The 20,260-nt window shown below is 39.6% G+C and overlaps 1 protein-coding gene across 1 annotated transcript in view; it reads left to right on the top strand.

Annotated features, from left to right (window-relative positions):
- Positions 1 to 15,033, top strand: part of SPOCK1 (SPARC (osteonectin), cwcv and kazal like domains proteoglycan 1) — a 524,029-nt gene extending 508,996 nt beyond the window's left edge. Inside the window, exons 8-11 of the mRNA NM_004598.4 lie at positions 1,688 to 1,909; positions 5,129 to 5,191; positions 10,862 to 10,999; positions 11,487 to 15,033. Of these exons, the coding sequence (NP_004589.1) occupies positions 1,688 to 1,909; positions 5,129 to 5,191; positions 10,862 to 10,999; positions 11,487 to 11,677 (614 nt within the window). The 3' untranslated portion in view covers positions 11,678 to 15,033. The remainder of the gene's footprint in view (positions 1 to 1,687; positions 1,910 to 5,128; positions 5,192 to 10,861; positions 11,000 to 11,486) is intronic.

Below are 20,260 nucleotides of genomic sequence, written 5' to 3'. Positions count from 1 at the left end.
ACAATGAGGGGAAGCATAGGGTTATAAGAGAGCTCAGAGGAGGAGATGCTGTACTTATTTTACTGGCTTCTAGACAGTGAAGACTTTTCTGCAAAGATGCTGCTTTAAAGAGTGGGTACAGGGCCGAGGGCGGTGGCTCAAGCTTGTAATCCCAGTACTTTGGGAGGCCAAGACAGGTGGATCACGAGGTCAGGAGATCGAGACCATCCTGGCTAACACGGTGAAACCCTGTCTCTACTAAAAATACAAAAAAATTAGCTGGGCATGGTGGCGGGCACCTGTAGTCCCAGCCACTCAGGAGGCTAGGCAGGAGAATGGTGCGAACCCGGGAGGCAGAGCTTGCAGTGAGCCGAGATGGTGCCACTGCACTCCAGCTTGGGCAACAGGGTGAGACTCTGTCTCAAAAAAAAAGAGTGGGTACATTTTGCTGTATTCTACATTTCACTAAGAAAGGGTTCCTAGTGATTCACATAGAAACTTAATGACCAGGCTGTCATTAATGCTTAATGATGGGCAACTGACCCCATCAGGCCCCCCCTTGCACTGCCCATCCCTAAACGTGACACTCTAGGCCAACTGGATGGCCTCAGGACAGGAAGATCAAGTCAGGCAGAAGGCTAGCAGAGGTGTCATTGAGAATATGTAGATTCTGGATTAAGCTTGCCGGGGTCTGAATCTCCATTCTACAATTGTATGACCTTGAGCCTTATTTTTTCATCTGTACAGTGGGAATGATATAGCACCATTTCATAGGACTGTTACAAGGATTCAGTGAGAAAATTAAGTACAAAGTGCTTAGAAGCATGCTTTCTATATAGCAACAGACGTTCACTTTTATCATTGGGGTATTCCAGAAAAATACAACTAGCCCTAGAAATCCAGTTTATGGAATAACCTGAGATTGCACGGGACCTTTGATTCTGAAAAAAGTTGAGTTTTAAATCTGGGACATGTCTACAGTAGACTCAATATCCCGAGTGTTGAGCTAAGTGTTATTATTTTAGTGCATACACTTTCCATTGTGGAAACAAATAATTCTTTAAGAAAACAACTTCTTCTCCCCCAGGGAAATAAGAAAGAAATTATTGTCTGAGTTGATTTGGATTCCATCTCATGGATCTCCTTAGGGGATTGCAGAAGAGAAGAGTGGGGAACAGAGGCAGGCACCTGGCTTGTTTTGCCATTAACATTCAGACTGCTTGGATTTAAAGGTCCTCTGGGATGCAAGCGGTGCTTCTGGATTATGCTATGTTGTTTCATTTCACTGCTATCCTTTTAAAAATATTTTATTTTGGTTTTCCAGTATTTTTTGAAATACGAAAGCATAGTTTTTGGTACCATAAGCTATACCTCTCACTCACCATGTTTCTATTATTTCTTTCAGGCACACCCCATTTTAAGCAAATGAAAACACATATTTATATCACAGATATGTTAACATTGGGGATTTTTCCCCTTTAGAACATATTTTCCTCAAATGATGACTTTTAAACCATTTCACTTAAAAACAAAACAAAAAAACACAAAATATTCTAGAGAACCACTAAATCTGTATGCTGGGAAGGAAACAGCCTCAGGAAGGGAGTCAGGTGGGCCTTGGCATCTTCTTGGGGCAGAAAGCTGGGGAGTGAGCAGGGAGGAAAGCATCAGGCTTGGTGGCAGCTGAGATATGCCTTTTGTTTGGCAGGGTTTGACACTAGCATCCTGCCCATCTGCAAGGACTCCCTGGGCTGGATGTTCAACAAGTTGGACATGAACTATGACCTCCTGCTTGACCCTTCAGAGATCAATGCCATCTACCTGGATAAGTACGAGCCCTGTATCAAGCCTCTTTTCAACTCGTGTGACTCCTTCAAGGATGGCAAGCTTTCTAACAATGAGTGGTGCTACTGCTTCCAGAAGCCTGGAGGTAAGGTGGGATGGAGGGTTGGGGTCCCTAGCCCAGGGCAGCCTTGCTGGAGCAGAGGAGGACTGCGTATGACTATGAATTGGGCAGAGAGCCACAGCCAGAGAATAAATAATTCATTCCATTTAATGCCAGGCCCAAAGTCTCATTTCTTCCAGTTTATTTCTGCTTTTAATGTGGTATACTAGAAAAACCAAGAGTATAAATCAAGTAGTCAGTTACTTCTGTCTGTTCCTCCCTTTGGGGAAGTCTCTCAACTGTCCGTATTTTCATCTATACAATGGGTATAGAAACCTTCATGACATAATCCAAAGGTCACTGTGAGCTCTCAATGTAAAAAATACCTTAAAAATGTAAGAGACAATGAAAATCATTCTCATTGAGAAAGTCACTTGTCAGTTTCTCTAGGATAAGTTCAGATTTATACTAAGTGTCCTAGACAAGAATATTTTGGTTATAAATAAACTCCAGCTAATGAAAAAAAGAGGCAAGATTTGGGGAATAGAAGAAAAGATACCAGGATATTTCATATAACCCAAAGTCAGACAGGTTGGCCTGCTGGGGGATTCAGATTAAGGACAGGAAGCCAGTGGCAGGTGCCCTGACTTTACCTCCCTCTGTCTGGGGGGTGCACCTGAGTATGGCAGTCACAGTTAATGGGACCAGAAGAGACAGGCCCACATCGGGAGAACATACAACTACAGGCATAGCTGGTATATCCCACCGCCAGGAAAGGAGGATGGCTGCTAATATGAAAGTATTTAAGTTATGTATGCATAGACAATACACACACAACAAAAAACGTGGGTATTCAGTGAAAGGTAAGTATGTGTGTATGGGATTTCAAGATATGTTCTTAAAATTACTAGTCAAAAGGCATGTGCCTTTTAAAATTTGAGCAATTGACCTCACCTCCAAAGAGGTGGTAACAATTTTTACTTTCACCAAAGATATATGAGAATACCTATTCTCTATGGCGTTACCAAGCTTCTTGATTTATGAGTTAGGTTGAACATCTGTACAAATGAAACATTCTGGAAATGTCTATATGTTCTTTGTATATTTTTTCTATCAGGTTCTTGTGTGTTTGTTTTTTAAGGAAATTGGAACTTTTCTGGTCATAGGTATTGTAAATATTTTTTCCCAAATTACAGTTCATGCATTTTTGTTAGGGAGAAATTTTAAGATAGCCAAGCTTCTCTGTATTTTATGGCTTCTAAGAAGCCATAAAGCTTAGAAAGGTATTTCTCACTTTATCTTTTTTGCTGTTCACTTAAATTCTGTATCAGTCTAGATTGTGTATTACACAGTCAAGTAGGCTCCCAGCCTCCCTGGAGATGGTCATCCAGTTGCTATATATATATATATAAAATAAATCAGTTTTAGACTTTTAAATCACAGTTGTTTTACAATATGTTTTACTACCTGGTAGAACTGTCCTTTGCTGCCATTACTGTTTTTCTAGAATTTTCCTGGATATTAGTATGTTTCTTTCCCTGTGTGAACTTTAGCATCAGTTTATCCAATTAAAAACAATTCCTATTGGTAATTTTTAAGTATCAGGAAAAATTAATCAAATAAAAATCAATAGCTGTATAATATGGAATCATTTTGTTTTAGAACAGGATCTATCAACCCATGGTGTTAATTTTGAAATTTTGTTCTAACAATTATTATACTTCCCTTGTATTTATTATTGCTACCATTGTAACTGAAATAGGTGTTTTTTTGCACTATATTCCCTCCCTGGTGGTTTCAACATTAATTTTGTTCTCAACCACCTTACTAAAATCTTGCTTTGTTTCTAAGTTATTCTGGTTGGTTTGCTTAGATTTTTCGGGTGTGCAATCATATCATCTGCAAATAGTGATAATTTTTCTCTTCATTTTCAATTTTTATACCTCATTTTTCTTTTCTAATTACATCTGTTAGTACCTAAAATCAATGTTAAGATAATAGCCATTTAAAAATTTTAGTAGTGTAAATACTTGTAGTGATTCTCAGCATTAAGACTAGTGATAGTTTTAGGTTTGAGTTCGTATTGTAACATGTGATTTTTAGCATGGTTTCCTTACAACACAGAGCCTATGTGTTAATGCTTGCCTGGAGGTAACAGTGCCAGAGCTGGTCACCTGGCCACATGGGACATCTCTGGATAGACTGCCCTTACTCTTGCAGTTGCTGAAAGCCAGAACCCCTTCCTGTGGCACAGCATCCAGGAAATGCTACCTTTTATAATCCAGATGAAATTTGTTTCTCCTTTACTCTGAAAGCATCTTAAAACAAGAAGTCAACAAAATGTATTTTACAAGCAGTTTCTCTCATGGAACAAGCAGCAAGACCAGGTAGCATTGTGCAGTCTACAGGGTAAGAGTTGTAAATGGTTGCTTAGATACTTTATATGCAAGTGTGGGGCCTGCAGAAAGAGGCAGTATCAGCCAAAGATAAGAACTCAGAGAACCAGAACTCCTCTGCCAAGGACAGGATGAACCATGAACAAATAGCAGAACTCCCAGAGCCACAAGGTCTGCAAAGGCAAATCATGGTAAAACTCTGAAGAATGAATGAGGTCACTTTTCATTTTGCTTAGAATGAAACTAACTTCTTTTCTATGACATGCATTTTGCCGCTGAGGACCCAGAGGCTGGGACAGGTGAATTCAGCTAGGAGGTGGCAGAGCCTAGATACAAAGTCTCATCAGTGCTTCTCCAGATCTCTTCTGTATCTTCATAGTTGTCCCTCAAAGCCTATTTTACTTTCCTGGGGGTGGTGAGGTCTGAAGTAACCATTCCTATCCATCCTTTCCTACAGGAAAACCTAGGCTATATAAGTATTTGTCACCTCTGGTTAGTTCGTCTGTGGATTCAGAACACTTCCCCACTAATAAGCCTTGGCTGATTACTTGCTTCCTGATAGAAAGGAAAAAGTCCATTACACCACCTATTAGATACTTGGTATTTGCTTGAGTTGGTACTAGAAAGAAAAATTTCTATGCAATGCAAGTGGCCCCCAAATACTATTTTAAGTGCATTGTGGTATGAGGTTTGTTTTTTAACTAGTAACACTAATGGCCCGAATTTGTTTTCTTGCATAGTAACAGCATATGGAACAATTCCACTCCCAGGTGTGTCATTGTCTACATTTCACATCAAGAGTGAAGTCAATCATTAGCGATTATACTCCATACCATCTGGAAGCTGACTTTCAGAAATTATTTTTTAGGTCTCCCTTGCCAGAATGAAATGAACAGAATTCAGAAGCTGAGTAAGGGGAAAAGCCTGTTGGGTAAGTACAATTTCTTGCCACTCATTTAAACAACTAATTAAGCCAGCCATGTCCCTTGTAATGATCAGCATGGCAATGGTTATTCAATTAGGGCTAGTGTTTCATGAAAGAAATGCCTTGTTTTAACCCCAGGCAGAGCTCTTCCAGGCAGCTGGACATAAACAGAGGACTGGCTGGTTGAAAACTGCTGTGTGTTCCTTCGGCAGGAAGAGAGGTCAGCCAGGGCCGAAGTCCAGCACCTTCCCCACTGCTAACTCCTCCCTGATCTTAGGCTAAAACAAATCTTGGCTTTTTCTAAGTAAGATCATTGAATGGTGCTCTCAAGTGCTCAAACTATAAGGTCTAAAAATTATAGCATTTCCTCCATTCCCCGGATAGGATTGTCTGTTGAAGGAGGCAGATGGGCTGTACTCTCTTCAGAATTTATCAAACAGGGTTGAACGACATGTATGTGCTTAAGCCTATTTCTACCTTCACCTAATCCCTCCAGGAAAGTATGCAGGCTGTTTGGACACCACGGAAGCAAGTGGGTTGAGTGAATGTGTGTTCCCCTAACATGCACAACTTGCAGTCCTCTCAAAGTGTCCCCTTTAGCTCCAAGCCTGCCTTTCTCCAGCACGTGGAGGAAGTCCTGGCATTTGTCATAGAAACACTGGCCATTCTCATTGGTTTGCTGAAGAAAGGAGGAGCCTGCTTTGCTTTCCTTGCTTTTAAAAAAAGAGGTGTCAGCTGCAACACAGTAATACAGAATTATTCCCGTGAAGCATTCAGAGGCAGATGCATTCCCCAAGCAGCCTGCCATTTCAGAAGTTTCTCTATTCATTTGAAGGAAATGAATAGAGAAGGAAATGGGCAAGTTTTCTTGCAGATTGTCAAATGTAGGCAGTCTATGAATTCCGGTGATTTTCTTCTCTTAGGATTTTTTGAGTTATTTCAAAATGCATGTAGACTTCCCCAAAGTTGTCAGGATTTCGAACTCTTTAGGCCTACATTCTTCTGCTGAGTAAAAGGACATAAAGATATATTTCTGGTCTGAAGGCAAAGTGGCTGGATCCCTCCTCCATAGGATTTTCTAGTGCAAAGACTTGTGTTTGTTTATTGATCTCATTTCTCCATGTGGGATATTATTTTGAGTGACGTACCTATGATCTGCAGGTAGTTGTAGAATTAGTACATTGCTGTTTATTAAAACATACATTGCCTCATTGGTAAGGGTCACCTGTGATAAGATGTCTCATTTACCCCAGTGCACATGAATGAAATGCCTACCTTTCTGTTAAAATAAATCCCATTTTGTTTTAAAGCTTGCTTTATCACATTTCCCACATATGGAGATTACTCCAGCTGACTCAGAAAAAATGCCATTTGCTTACAAATTCTTTATGTAGTCAGGGGTATACAGAGTCAAATAAATAAAACAATCAACAAATTATTATCAGCTATAATTATTGCATTGTAGTTTTAGAGCAGCACCTGCTTCTTACCAACCCAGGGCCTCAGCCCATTTTTTTTTTTTTTTTGGTCCAAGGAGGAGCCAGCTCTCTACATGTTCACTTTCTCTGCAGTCCTTGATTGAGAATCTGTTCACAAATCTCTTTTTGGGCTACTGACCGCATCTACATTTTCCTTCTTTTCTATCTACTGTTCTTTGAAAACTGATAGCATGCAATGGCGTACACTCCTTAATGAGAGGGTGGATACCACTAAGCTTCTAACTGTGGCATCAGCAGCCTTTCCTAAGTGATAGACATGGTGTTCCATGGTCTCATTTAATCTCTGAGAATATGATCATCTTGGTATAGCCTGGTGAGTAGCATGTTCTAGACTAGACCCTAGAGTCACCTGGGTCTGGGTTGAAGTCTTGGTTCAAAATAGGAGAAATCTGTCCCTCCCATGCCACACTTTTATTCTGGGATTGTTCCACTAAATAAAAGGCAAATTTGAAAATGTAAGCACGCTCACAAAATCAGAAATTAAATTAGGGCATAGAAAGCTACAGTGGAAGGCAGGAACCTCTGTTTTCAGGAGGCTGATGTAGATGGTGTTACCACCCAGGTTACACAAAGAGGAAGAATTCTTCCATAGAAGATGCACACTATCAAGAAACACACCTACCCTGTAAGGAAAACCAAAACTAAAAACTATTATAAATAAAGATTACCCACAGTACAATGAGAATCAGTATCTTCAAAGTGCCAAGGGGAAATAATTATGAACCTACAATTTAAAATTTATCCCAGTGATCATTCAAGTGTGATGACAGAGGTACTCTGGTACTCTGAAACCATCTAAGATTCAGTCAGCTTACTAACCCCAGACTCACTTAAATATCACTAAAGGATTTATTCTACCAAACAAATGATCCCAGAAAGAACTATTCAGATGCAATAATGAAAAAGAAATGACAATTCTGCTAAGACCAATAAAAATAGTTATATGGCAACCTGGAATTAAAATTCCAGACAATTGGGGGAAGTGAGAAAAAGGTGGTAAGAATGTGTTAAGCTTCTAGTTTGTTCATGAAAAAAAAAATCTGTATAGATTAACTGTAGATTTTACTAGGAAAAACTATGTTCCCCTGTGGAAAATATGAGTAACCACAAGAATATTAGAATATATGTTTTAAACCTATGGAAAAAAGACAAGGTATAAAGAAAACTTAGTAAGTAGGAAACAGATATGGTGGCAGAAATAAGAGTAAGCATTTCTGTAATCACAATATCTGTAATCACAATAAATGTGAACAGGTCAAACACATTTATTATTATTGATTAGTATTTTAAAGGAGAGTTATACAAAAATAATTCCACAGAAAGTTGAAATTAAATGAGGGTAAATACTCTTTTTTAAACAACATTAATATCTGACAAAGCAAATCTGTTTTTTATAATGCAATCATCTCGCTGAAATATCCCTTTTACCATATTATGCCATCAGTTGCTCTATAGACATGCCTTGCTTAATGACAGGGATAGGTTCTGAGAAATGTGTCATTAGGTGACTTTGTCATTGTGTAAACATCATAGAGTATACTCACACAGACCTAGATGGTATAGCCTATTGCTCCTAGGTATAAACCTGTACACCATTTTATCGTACTGAATACTACAGGCAATTGTAACACAATGGGAATTATTTTTATATCTAAACATAGAAAAGGCTAGTGAAAATATGGTGTTATAATGTTATGGAACCATTGTCACATATACAGTCTATTGTTGACTAAAACATCATTATGTGGCACATGACTATACTCATAACTTAAAATGGAATAGAACTGTAAGGGCGAATTATAGCCACAGTGGTTTTCAGAAACTTTGACATACCACTTCCTGAAACCTACAGTTCAAGTAGACTAAGATTTGTTAGCATTCATGCTTATATATGTATTCCTGAATCTAGGCATTGAATGTAGTCTTTCAAACATCTGCCACAGACCGTACCACAGAAGAAAACAAATTTCAAATAAATGATCACAGATCAAACTTACCGGCCACAACACAATACCAATAGAAGTAAAATATGAGATTACTAAACCCCCATACATTTGGTTTCATGAATAAAAATTGATCAAAGATGAAGAAAGAAAAATCTACAAAATATCTAGAAATGAAAGAAAATGAAAGCATGGTGTACCAAATACATGGGAAGCAACTAAGTGAAACTTCATAGCGTCAAATGCATTTATAAAAAAGGATCAAAATAAAATTAACTAGATGTAACTTAAACTATAGGAACAACACAAAGTGAATAAGATGAAAGCAGACAACAGTGAAGTAAAAATATTAAAATACCATATCAGAGATAGTTTTCTGAACAAATGAAATAGACAAACCTTTGACAATATGAAGAAGTAAAAAGGCTCAAATAGTGTCATGAATTTAAAAGTGGGATATAAGCTCAGTTATAGAAGAATACTGTAAACTTGTGGTTCTCAAACTTTAGTATATACCAGAATTAGCTGGAGGATTAAATAAATGAACAGACTGCTCAGCCCCACTCTCTAAGTCTCAGGTGGGGCCCAAGAACTTGCATTTCTAAGGGTTTTCCATGTGGTGCCACTGCTGCTTGTCCTGGAACCTCACTTTGAGAACCACTGCTATAAGTCAATTTATAACAATTATGAAAACCTAGTTGAAATGGATACTATCAGTTACCAAATTTTGATAACAGAAGACCCAGGTAAATCAAAACCAAAATCAAAACCAGGAAATTAATCAAAATGCTACTTTCATCCCTCAAAATGAGCACCAGGCTCAAGATATTTTTATGGGCAAATTCTTCAAAAAAGAGATTCTCATTTTATAAAAAAATCTCTAGAGCATATCTGAATCATTTTATGAATTAGGAACTTCAAAAGAAACAATGCAGAAAACACCAAAACAAAATTATATGCCTCAATCACTGTATTAGTCCATTTTCACACTGCTATGAAGAAATAGACCTGAGACTGGGTAAAGAAAAAGAGGTTTAATGGACTCACAGTTCCACATGGCTGGGGAGGCCTCACAATCATGGCGGAAGGCAAGAGAGCGTGTGCAGAGGAACTGCCCTTTACAAAACTATCAGATCTTGTGAGACTTATTCACTATCATAAGAACAGCATGGGAAAAACTCGCCCCCATGATTCAATTACCTCCTGTTCAATTACCTCCCACAGGGTCCCTCCCACAACACGTGGGAATTATGAGAGCTACAATTCAAGATGAGATTTGGGTGGGGACACAGCCAAACCATATCAATCACTTAGTAACATACTTGTAAATTTGTGCCACTAGTAATCCATCTTGTTAAAAGTATATAAAGCATAAAAACCATATGATTTTCTCACATTAAAAATGTAATATCAGTAGTACCCATTCAAGATTTAAAGTGAAAAATTAGAACTAATCAAAGAAGGAATTTTGCTTAACATTGGGCAAATTAACTCCAGTTTATCACTTTTTTTTTTTTTTTTTGCCTGCAAACAGGGAGATAGTAATAGCAACACCTTATGGTGATATTGGCATGGCTTGATGAAATAATGCAAGTAAAGCACTTAGCTATTATTAATTACCTCTTTCTTAGAGGCTGGAAGACAGTGACAAGGAATAGCTTGGAACCATATGATCCACAGACTGGTGTTGTTCATAGAACATTTGTTACTAGTCAGAACCAAGTGCAGTAGTTAATGCGTATAGAAAGTTTTATAACAATTTCACGGAGTCACTTTATGTGGTTGGGCAAAGTATTGGTAATGCTGGACTTGATATTTACTAGCAGATGCCTTGGGAAGATTACTTAATTTTCCTAGACATCAGTTTCATATTAAAAGGTAATGATGGTATGTATCTCTTAGAGTTGTGGGAATAAGAGATTCTGCAAATGTATGTATATATACACATACATATGTAAGCACGATTTAGGTCAGTGCCCAGAATAGAAGTATTCAATACATGATAGCTATTATCATTCCCGTTTAAACACTGACATCCTTAGAGCTCATCGCGTTTGGGCCTCTAAAGGTTAAGGGCCCTGTAATTTTGACTAATAGCCAACCATCCCCATCCTCTGCTGCTGACCCTGCAGCAGATATTCTGACATGTGAGCCCTCTTCCCTGTGTTGACGGGCATTAACCCCGAGTATCATCTGCATGTCTCTGATTAAAGTTGCACCTTTTGTTCCCCCAGGGGCCTTCATACCTCGGTGTAATGAGGAGGGCTATTACAAAGCCACACAGTGCCACGGCAGCACGGGGCAGTGCTGGTGTGTGGACAAATATGGGAATGAGTTGGCTGGCTCCAGGAAACAGGGTGCTGTGAGCTGTGGTGAGTAAGGCCTCCTGCATGAGCCCCACAATGACCTGGGTGGCCTGTGGTTCCTCACTGCATAAGGATCTCTGCAGAAGAATGTTGAGAGGTAACTCCAGTATACATTAAGTTTATAATAGAGGCATAGTAACCCTGAAATCACATGAGCTCCCGTGTAGCTAGCTTGGCAAGTGGCAGGAACTCACTATGACCAGAGAAGAGAGACAGAACTGCTGCAGACAAAGGGTGACTTAGGCTGCCTTCACTTCTCATTTAGGGTTGTAAACCTCCTGGGAAGGTAGGAGCATCTCAAGAATTCTAGGGCTCTTACGAGAACAAAGTTTGTAATGTATGCCCTGAAGACTCACCTCAGTGGGGCAGGGATGTTTCTGTTTTCAGAAAGTAAACTGCTTGGTTTTACCCTACAATTCAGGCAAAGGAACCCCTGACGTGGGTCATGAGGTATAAGTGGAAACTAACCTCAATGCTTTTTTTAATCTTTCAGAAGAGGAGCAGGAAACCTCAGGGGATTTTGGCAGTGGTGGGTCCGTGGTCCTGCTGGATGACCTAGAATATGAACGGGAGCTGGGACCAAAGGACAAAGAGGGGAAGCTGAGGGTGCACACCCGAGCCGTGACAGAGGATGATGAGGATGAGGATGATGACAAAGAGGATGAGGTCGGGTACATATGGTAGTGCCCACAAGAAAGAGGACACAAGTTTTGCACAAAATTGCAAGTCACTTCCTATTCCTGCATTTGTATCTAAGACTCCAAGGCACCAAGGTCTCTTCTCCATTGTTGCTCTCTATACCCGACCTAAGGTTTGGAAGACAACTGCTTGTTCCCAGAGGATTCTGATTTTGCATATGTTTGTATGGGAGAAAGGGTGTTGTGTTTTTTTTTTGTTGTTGTTTATTTTTTGGATAGGGAAGTCATTGGCTTAATTAGAGCCTCCTTCCTTTCTGTGAGATTTTTCCAACAAGCATGTGATTTACGTGGAATTCTGACAGTGCAGGGAGCCCCAACCCTCTTAAATGTCAAAGACCCTTTTTGATTACCCACACTGGTGGTTATTACAGCATGGTTCCCAGCCTTACAGTGTCTAAGTGCTTCTCTTGTGTCCTGTAGATGTTGTGAAAAAGAAAAAAACAAAAAATACACCACACTGTACTTTTTCCCCCTGCCCCCGTTACTGCCGGTGATTATTATTAAAAATTAGTTTTTTTCACATCATTATATCTGGCTTCCTATAAACAACAGCCTTAATTCAGTCAAGACTCCCTTTGGGGAATTCATTTTATTAAAAATTGGTGTCTGGATACTTCCCTGTACATGCATAAATATGCATGCATGTACAGAAAGACTGTATGTGTGTGCCTTGCACACACACCCATACCTCTCAGAAAAAGTGTTTGGGTATCTTAAAAACTCGAAAAACAATGATAAATTTCTCAGCTTGTCCAGACCTGGAACAAAATTTCTGGAATAAGAAATTTGTATTAAAGTCCTTTTTTGCACTAACAGTTGGCTCTTGTAGCCTGCAGGCTGAGGAAGTCTCTTCTCTGTGCATCAGCAGAGTTACTGAAAGCCTCTGATTGAGAAAAAACCTCCGTCTGCCTAAATCACTTTTCTCGCAGAAGCCATGCGACTCCCACACGACACGGGCAGCTTCACAAGCCATCTCTTTCATTTCTGCTTGAAGCCCCTTGGCTGCAGCAATCCTGTCTGCCATAGGTTTCTTCCTTCCTTACCTACTCAAGGGCTTTTTCTAAGGCATGCACACATATCTCCTGTTCTCTGAGAGTACCATGGTGTTCCTTAAAAGAAGAAAATTTCTAATTCTGAACTCAATGTTTTGCTTTTACTCCCTTTCTACTGACAAATCATGATAAGGGCACAAAAGCTGTACAGATTTTTTTTTTTAACCACTCAATCCCAAATGGAGGCCTACAAAGAACATCGTAATAACACATGGAAGCAAACCCTGGGTTTTTAAGAGCAAATTCTGTCCCCCCCTCACTCCCCCAAGTGACAAGATACTAATGAAGAAAGTTCTTCACCATAGTGTTTGTTTTAACTAAACTCATTGGAGTCTAGTTCCAAATTTGGTAGGGTCATCATCTCTACATTCCTTAGGATTTCTCTCCCTATCAAGCTGGCCCAGATACAAGTACCAAACAGTAGTCTCTGAAGTTCCCCCATTTCCTTCAGTACCAGTCTATAAGCTACTGTCCGCCACTGATTTTCATTTATCAGGGTGTCCTAATCAGAATCAGCCACCCAAGCAAGCCTCTCTGGCCCACATATCTATCTCTTGCCTTCCCCCATGAACTTCAGCCTGTCCACACAAAAGCCACATAAACTCAAGCAAGAAATATGTTCAGCCAAAACATGATTATAGTGGCAGCTGACCAATCCCCCATCCCAAATTGACCATTTAGATGTACCAACTCACCTTAAATTAGCATGTTCCAATCCAGTCGGCATTGCCTGAATACAGTAGCATCATACCTATAGTTGGTCTTAGATAAGAAATGAACTACTTGATATAGCAAAGTCCTTTGGCTTCGTAAATAACCCTGAGGTTTTGTACTTACTTTCCCCATAGGAAGACAGACCATAGGCAAACTCTGTTTTGGGATCTCAACTCCATCACCTTTGTTTCAATATTTTTTTTCTCTCTTGAACAAAACTGAGATAATTTAGAAAACAGGTGCTTAATTGCAATAAAATTACTATGAAGTATATTAAAAATCACGACATTGTAAAATCTCACTTTAGATCATCAAAGAAAACCATTGTTACTATCTCCTTTGAGCTTAGGAAAATGTACAAGAGAACAAATTAAAATTGAAAAATTGATTTCACTTAGAAAAACTTCTAGGAACAGGGTGAACCACTGATTTTAATTTGCCTAATTATCTTATGACAAGTATCAAATTAAGATGACACTTAAAGATCCTTAGCATTAACTTAATGATGGAGAAGAGTGCTCAATAGACAGTTCCCAGTAAGGTAATGAGATGCCATTTTCAGAGACATTCTAAGAAGATATTTTGATTCATTAAAACATTAAATAAAAAGCCCTCCTCAGATTGGAACCCCCAAATCGATGGAGCCACATTAATAATACTTTTCATGCCTCACTTTGACATGACAGCATTCGATTTTTTTAAAGATCTTTAATACTTTCCATGAGTACTAAAGATTGTAATGAGTTACCTTATCCTTAGAAGTAGAATGTTTGCTTTCTTCTTCTTGGAAATAGTCCTCCAAAAAGTCCACTTGTACCAGTGACAAGAAGTCACTTGTATAGTGACCAAGTACACATAAAATACTGATTATAAAAATATTGTAATAAACCACTTCCTCATTTGATACAGGTATTAAGCTGAATCCTCACTAATTCACTTTTGAAAAGTTCTTAATGAACAGTTTTATTCTTATTCCATGAACAGCTCTTTTAATACAATTTCCTTGGTATCCAACTTAAATCCCAGAATTTTGTTCCACCATGGTTAGTTATTTGCCATATGAATGTATTCTTGTTTCTACCAATATTCTAGGCATGAGAATACCTTAATACTGAGTTGGAGATTTTGTATCTGTTTCTCCTCCTTTACGCCCATTTTCCTACCCACAGCAGCAAATGACAACGTGTCTGTCCAGGTCTGTCCCCCTGCTCATCCCAGGATGCCACTCACATTTTTTTCTTCTTGTTACCTTGACCACGCTGTACAGTAACATCCAAGAGCCCATTCTACAGTGGGTGGTTTTGGTCTTTTTATAACTTTTTCTCAAAGTCACTGATGTTTGTTCCTGTTAAATGTATAGCATTGTAATGAGAGCCCATCAAATCCTGAGTGTCAGTTTGTTGTCCCTATTGTAGATGAAATAGTGATGTAGCAAAAACCTAGTAAATTCTGAATGCTTTTCCACGTAGACTTATCTGGAATGTGAACACAACTCTTTGGTTAATAGTAAATGCTTAACTGTAGTCCTGAGTAGGTGCATTTCTGTCTGTCTCAATAAATTTTACTTTGTCTGCAATATCTGAGTGTTTGTATTTCATTGGGTGGAATGTACATTCAGCAGGCCATGTCCCGCACACAATCACTACAGAATAGTATGAGCAGACAAAGGGGATAGCCAATAAAGCTCTGTCAGGACTTCTGATTGTGGTGGGGAGGTCTGCCTGCCGGTGGTCTGGCCTGGCACCTGCAGCACCCCTGGCACATGCATGCCCTGTGCCTGCTCAGTCTAGAACAGGGGTCCCCAAACCCTGGGCCACAGACCAATACCAGTCTGTGGCCTCTTAGGAACCTGGCTGCATAGCAGGAGGTGAGCAGTGGGTGAGTGAGTGAAGCTTCACCTGTATTTACAGCCACTCTCCATCACTTGCATTACCGTCTGAGCTCTACCTCCTGTCAGATCAGCAGTGGCATTAGATTCTCATAGGAGTAAGAACCCTATTGTGAACTGCACATGCTAGATATATAGGTTGCATGCTCCTTATGAGAATCTAATGCCTGATGACGTGTCACTGTCTTCCATCACCCCCAGATGGGACTATCTAGTTGCAGGAAAACAAGCTCAGGGCTTCCACTGATTCTACAATATGGTGAGTTATATAATGATTTCATTATATATTACAATGTAATAACAATAGAAATGAAGTGCACAATAAGTGTAATGCACTTGAATCATCCTGAAACCATCTCCCTCACCCCTATATCCATGGAAAAATTGTCTTCCACGAAACCCGTCCCTGGTGCCAAAAAGGTTGGGGACCACTGCTCTAGAACCACTCACCTGAGCCCTTCTTTTGGCTGCCTTTGCCTCGCTCAGGCTCCAACTTTACACCTTACCTATCAGATTTCACTCTTGTCATCCTGTTTACAACCCTAAGGTTTTTAAACTCTGCTTATCCCTTCCCTCCCCTCCCCAGCCAGTTATTCTCCAATTCTCTGAAAAAACAAAACAAAACAAAAAAACACAACTCACCTCTCTTCCCTTTATGGGGACCCTAGGGTCCCCTATCTTTGAGAATACACTAGATACTTGTCAAACATCAGAAAGCACCCAAATTGGAACAGGAATTATTTCCGTTTCCCTTCTATCCACTTTTGGGCCAGTGTGTCTACGACTTAATTATACCCTGAGTGAGTAATTTCGCCATGAGCTGAGGTAGAAACTATCTTATGAATAATTCCATTCCTTTACCCTCTGGACTAAATTTTACAGACAATTTACAGATTGACAGTTCAAGAAAAGGTGCTTAATAAATCCACAAAATAAGTAATGTCAGGAGAACAAGGACCAATGTAAAGTCTCCAAGGTAGTTAAAGGGTACATTAAAGAGTTGTTGGTGTTTGCGAACATACTTCCAATTCTTCTCAAATCAGCAGGTAAAACCCCACGTTTCTCCTAAAGTTGCACCTTCATGGATGCCATGTTAGTATGTTAAAGGCCAAGACTAATGGAAGAACTGGAAGCCAATTCTCCAGCTTTAGTTATAGAGCTGGCCATAAAGGTCACAGTACTTTCTCAAAGTTCTTAGTGGTAAGATTTGCTTTGATATATTGACTTAAAGAAAGAAAGATTTAAAAAATATTCATTCAACAAACCTTTATAGGTTAATTAGTAGATTTATAGATTTCACTCTGTTGGATGGATGGATGGCACCATGGGCAGGAAACATATTCAGTTCTAGGAATATGAAAGTGAGTAAGATCTGGTACCTGCTTGAAAAAGTTATTACCACCTTGAACAAGACAAACGTAAATAATTCATTTTTTTTTAGATGGAGTCTTGCTCTGTCGCCACACTGTAGTGCAGTGGCACAATCCTGGCTCACTGCAACCTTTGCCTCCTGGGTTCAAGCAATTCTCCTGCGTGTGCCACTACGCCTAGCTAATTTTTGTACTTTTAATAGAGACGGGGTTTCACCATGTTGGCCAGGATGGTCTTGATCTCCTGACCTTGTGATCCGCCTGCCTCGGCCTCCCAAAGTGCTGGGATTACAGGTGTGAGCCACCACACCTGGCCAATACCTCTTTTTAAAAAATAGGTTGAGGCTGGATGTGGTGGCTCACACCTGTAACCCCAGCACTTTGGGAGGCTGGGGAGGGCAGATCTCTTAAGCTCAGGAGTTTGAGACCAGCCTGGGCAACATGGTGAAACCCCATCTCCACTAAAAACATGAAAATTAGCTGGGTGTGGTGGTGGGCGCCTGTAATCCCAGCTACTTGGGAGGCCAAGGCAGAAAAATTGCTCAAACCCAGGGGGCATAGGTTGCAGTGAGCCAGGATCACGCCACTGAACTCCAGCCTGGGCAACAGAGTGAAACTCTGTCTCAAAACAAACAAAAAACAAAAACCAAACAAAACTAGCTGAGCGCAGTGGCACGTGCCTGTAGTCCCAGCTACCTCAGAAGCTGGGGTGGAAGGACCACTTCAGCCTGGGAGGTCAAGGCTGCACTGAGCCATGATCGCACCACTGCACTCCCGCCTGGGTGACAGAGTGAGATCCTGTCTAAAAAAAAAAAAAAGGGTTGAAGTTGTCATAATCATAACGGGTTGATGTCAAGGGCAGTAGCTACTCAACCCTTGTTAAAGCTTGCCTTACTTGGTTCTTTTTATCCATCATTCCCTGGCTTTCCTCCTGCCTCTCTGGACATTCCTTTTAGGTTTCCTGTATATTGTTTTGTTCAACCAGTTCTGTTAGTATGAGTGTACCTCAGATCTGCATCCCTGTCCCACTTCTAACTTTACATGTTTTCTCTGGACAGTCTTATCTATGTCTACGGTTTTAAAGTCTCCATTTTGAGATGCCCTCAATCTGTATGTCAAGTGTAGGTTTTGATTTCTGCTCCATTCTGAAACAATCCCTGCCATTTAGATAATTCTACTTGAATTTTTCACTGACACCTCAACTGCAAATTTTAAAAAATCCAAATGACAGAATGAAGTATATAAGAAATATACTTATGACAGTAGGAGTCAGCAAGGCTTTTCTTAAGTCTTAGCACACATGAGCCAAATGGAGAAGATGAAAAAATTTGCCTCCATCAAAATTAATAACATAAACAAGAGACTAAAAAATATATAGGTGACATAAAAGAGATAGAGGATTAGGGTCTAATATATGTGTGCGTATGTATGTATGTATGTATATGTACATGTATATATATACACACTCAAAGAGCTAAAGGAGCCAGGCACGAAGGCACATGCCTATACTCTCAGCTACTTGGGAGGCTGAGGTGGGAGGACTGCTTGAGCTCAGGAGTTTGAAACTGCAGTGAGCCCTGATCACCACTGCTCTCCAGCCTGGGTGAAAATGAGACCTTTTCTCAAAAAAAAAAAAAAAAAAAAAAAAAGCTAGAGGAAAACATGGACCAAAAACTCAAGGAAATAAGAAAAATGATATATGAATAAAATAAAAATATGAACAAAGAGATGTAAATTACAAAAAGGAAGTAGGCCAGGTGCGGTGGCTCACGCCTGTAATCCCAGCACTTTGGGAGGCCAAGGTGGGTGGATTACCTGAGGTCAGGAGTTCGAGACCAGCCTGGCCAACATGGTGAAGCCCCAACTCTACTAAAAATATAAAATTAGCCGAGTGTGGTGGTGCACTCTTGTAATCCCAGCTACTCAGGAGGCTGAGGCAGGAGAATTGCTTGAATCCGGGAGGCAGAGTTTGCACTGAGCCAAGATTGAACCACTGCACTCCAGCCTGGGTGACAAGTGCAAGACTCCATCTCAAAAAAAAAAAAAAAAAAAAAAAAGAGGAAGTATTAGACATTCTGGAGCTGAAAAATACAATAACGGAAATTATGAATTCACAAAAAGAGTTTAACAGTATATTTGAGCAGGTAGAGGAAAGAATCAGAAAACTTGTAGATAGGACACTAGAAATTAACAGGTCTAAGAAACAGAAAGAAAAAAGAAGAAAAGCAAGTAGAACTTAAGGAACTTCTGGTACACCATAAGATGGACCAATATGCACATTAAAAGAAGATTCCAGAAGAAGAAGAGATAAGGGTGTAGAGGGATTACTTGTGAAAAATTAAAGCTGGAAATGTCTCGAGTTTGAGGAGAGACCTAACATTACAAATCCAAACAGCTCAGTGAACTTTAAGTGAGATAAACCCAAAGAGAGCCACACCAAAACATATTATAATTAAACTGTTGAAAGTCAAAGCCAAAGAGAGAATCTTGAAAGCAGCAAGGGAGAAGTGACTCATCAAATACAAAGAATCCTCAATAAATTATAGGCTGATTTCTCAGTAGAAACCTTGGAGACCAGAAAGGAATGAAATGATATTTGAAGTGCTGAAAGAAAAAAAAAAATCTGTCTGCCAAGAATACTCTACCCAGTACAAATGTACTTCAAAAATGAGGGAGAAATTAATACATTCCTAGGTAAACAAAAGCTAATGGATTTCTGTACCACTAGACCTGCCCTATAAAAAATGCTAAATGGAGTCCTTCGAGTTGAAATGAAAGGATGCTGAACTCAGAGCCATACAAAGATATAAGTTCCTTAAAGGTAAAGGTAAATACATAGTCAAATATAAAAACCAATATTATTGTAATTTTGGTTCATAACAGTTTTCAGCTTCTGTGAGATTTAAAAGACAAATAAATAAAAAATAATTATAAATGTAGGTTAATGTGTACACAATATATAAATATGTAATTTGTAACAATAACAAACTTGAAGGGGGTGGAGCTGTAAAGGAGTAGAGTTTTTGTATGCAATTGAAGTTATTACCAATTTAAAATAGATTGTTATAACTTTAAGAAGTAATTTTCATAGTAACCACAAATAAAATATCTATAGAATATACACAAATGGAAATGAGAAGAGAATCAAGACATGTGACTACAAAAAAAATCAACTAAATCTGGCCAGGCATGGTGGCTCACACCTGTAATCCCAGCACTTTGGGAAGCTGAGATGGGTGGATCCCCTGAGGTCAGGAGGGCCAACATGGTGAAACCAGTCTCTACTAAAATTACAAAAATTAGCTGGGCATGGTGGTGTATGCCTGTAATCCCAGCTACTCAGGAGGCTGAGGCAGGAGAATCGCTTGAACCCAGGGGGTGGATATTGCAGTGAACTGGGATCTTGCCACTGCACTCCAGCCTGGGCAATAGCAAGACTCTGACCAAAACACAAACACACACACACACACACACACACACACACACACACACACACACACACATCCAAAGGAAGGCAGTAATGGAGGAAATGAGGGGGGAAAAAA

The sequence above is a fragment of the Homo sapiens genome, chromosome 5, assembly GCF_000001405.40.
Source record: "Homo sapiens chromosome 5, GRCh38.p14 Primary Assembly".
NCBI classification, from domain to species: domain Eukaryota; kingdom Metazoa; phylum Chordata; class Mammalia; order Primates; family Hominidae; genus Homo; species Homo sapiens.
The sequence above is the reverse complement of the archived record's forward strand: the minus strand, read 5'-3'. Positions and strand labels throughout refer to the sequence as shown.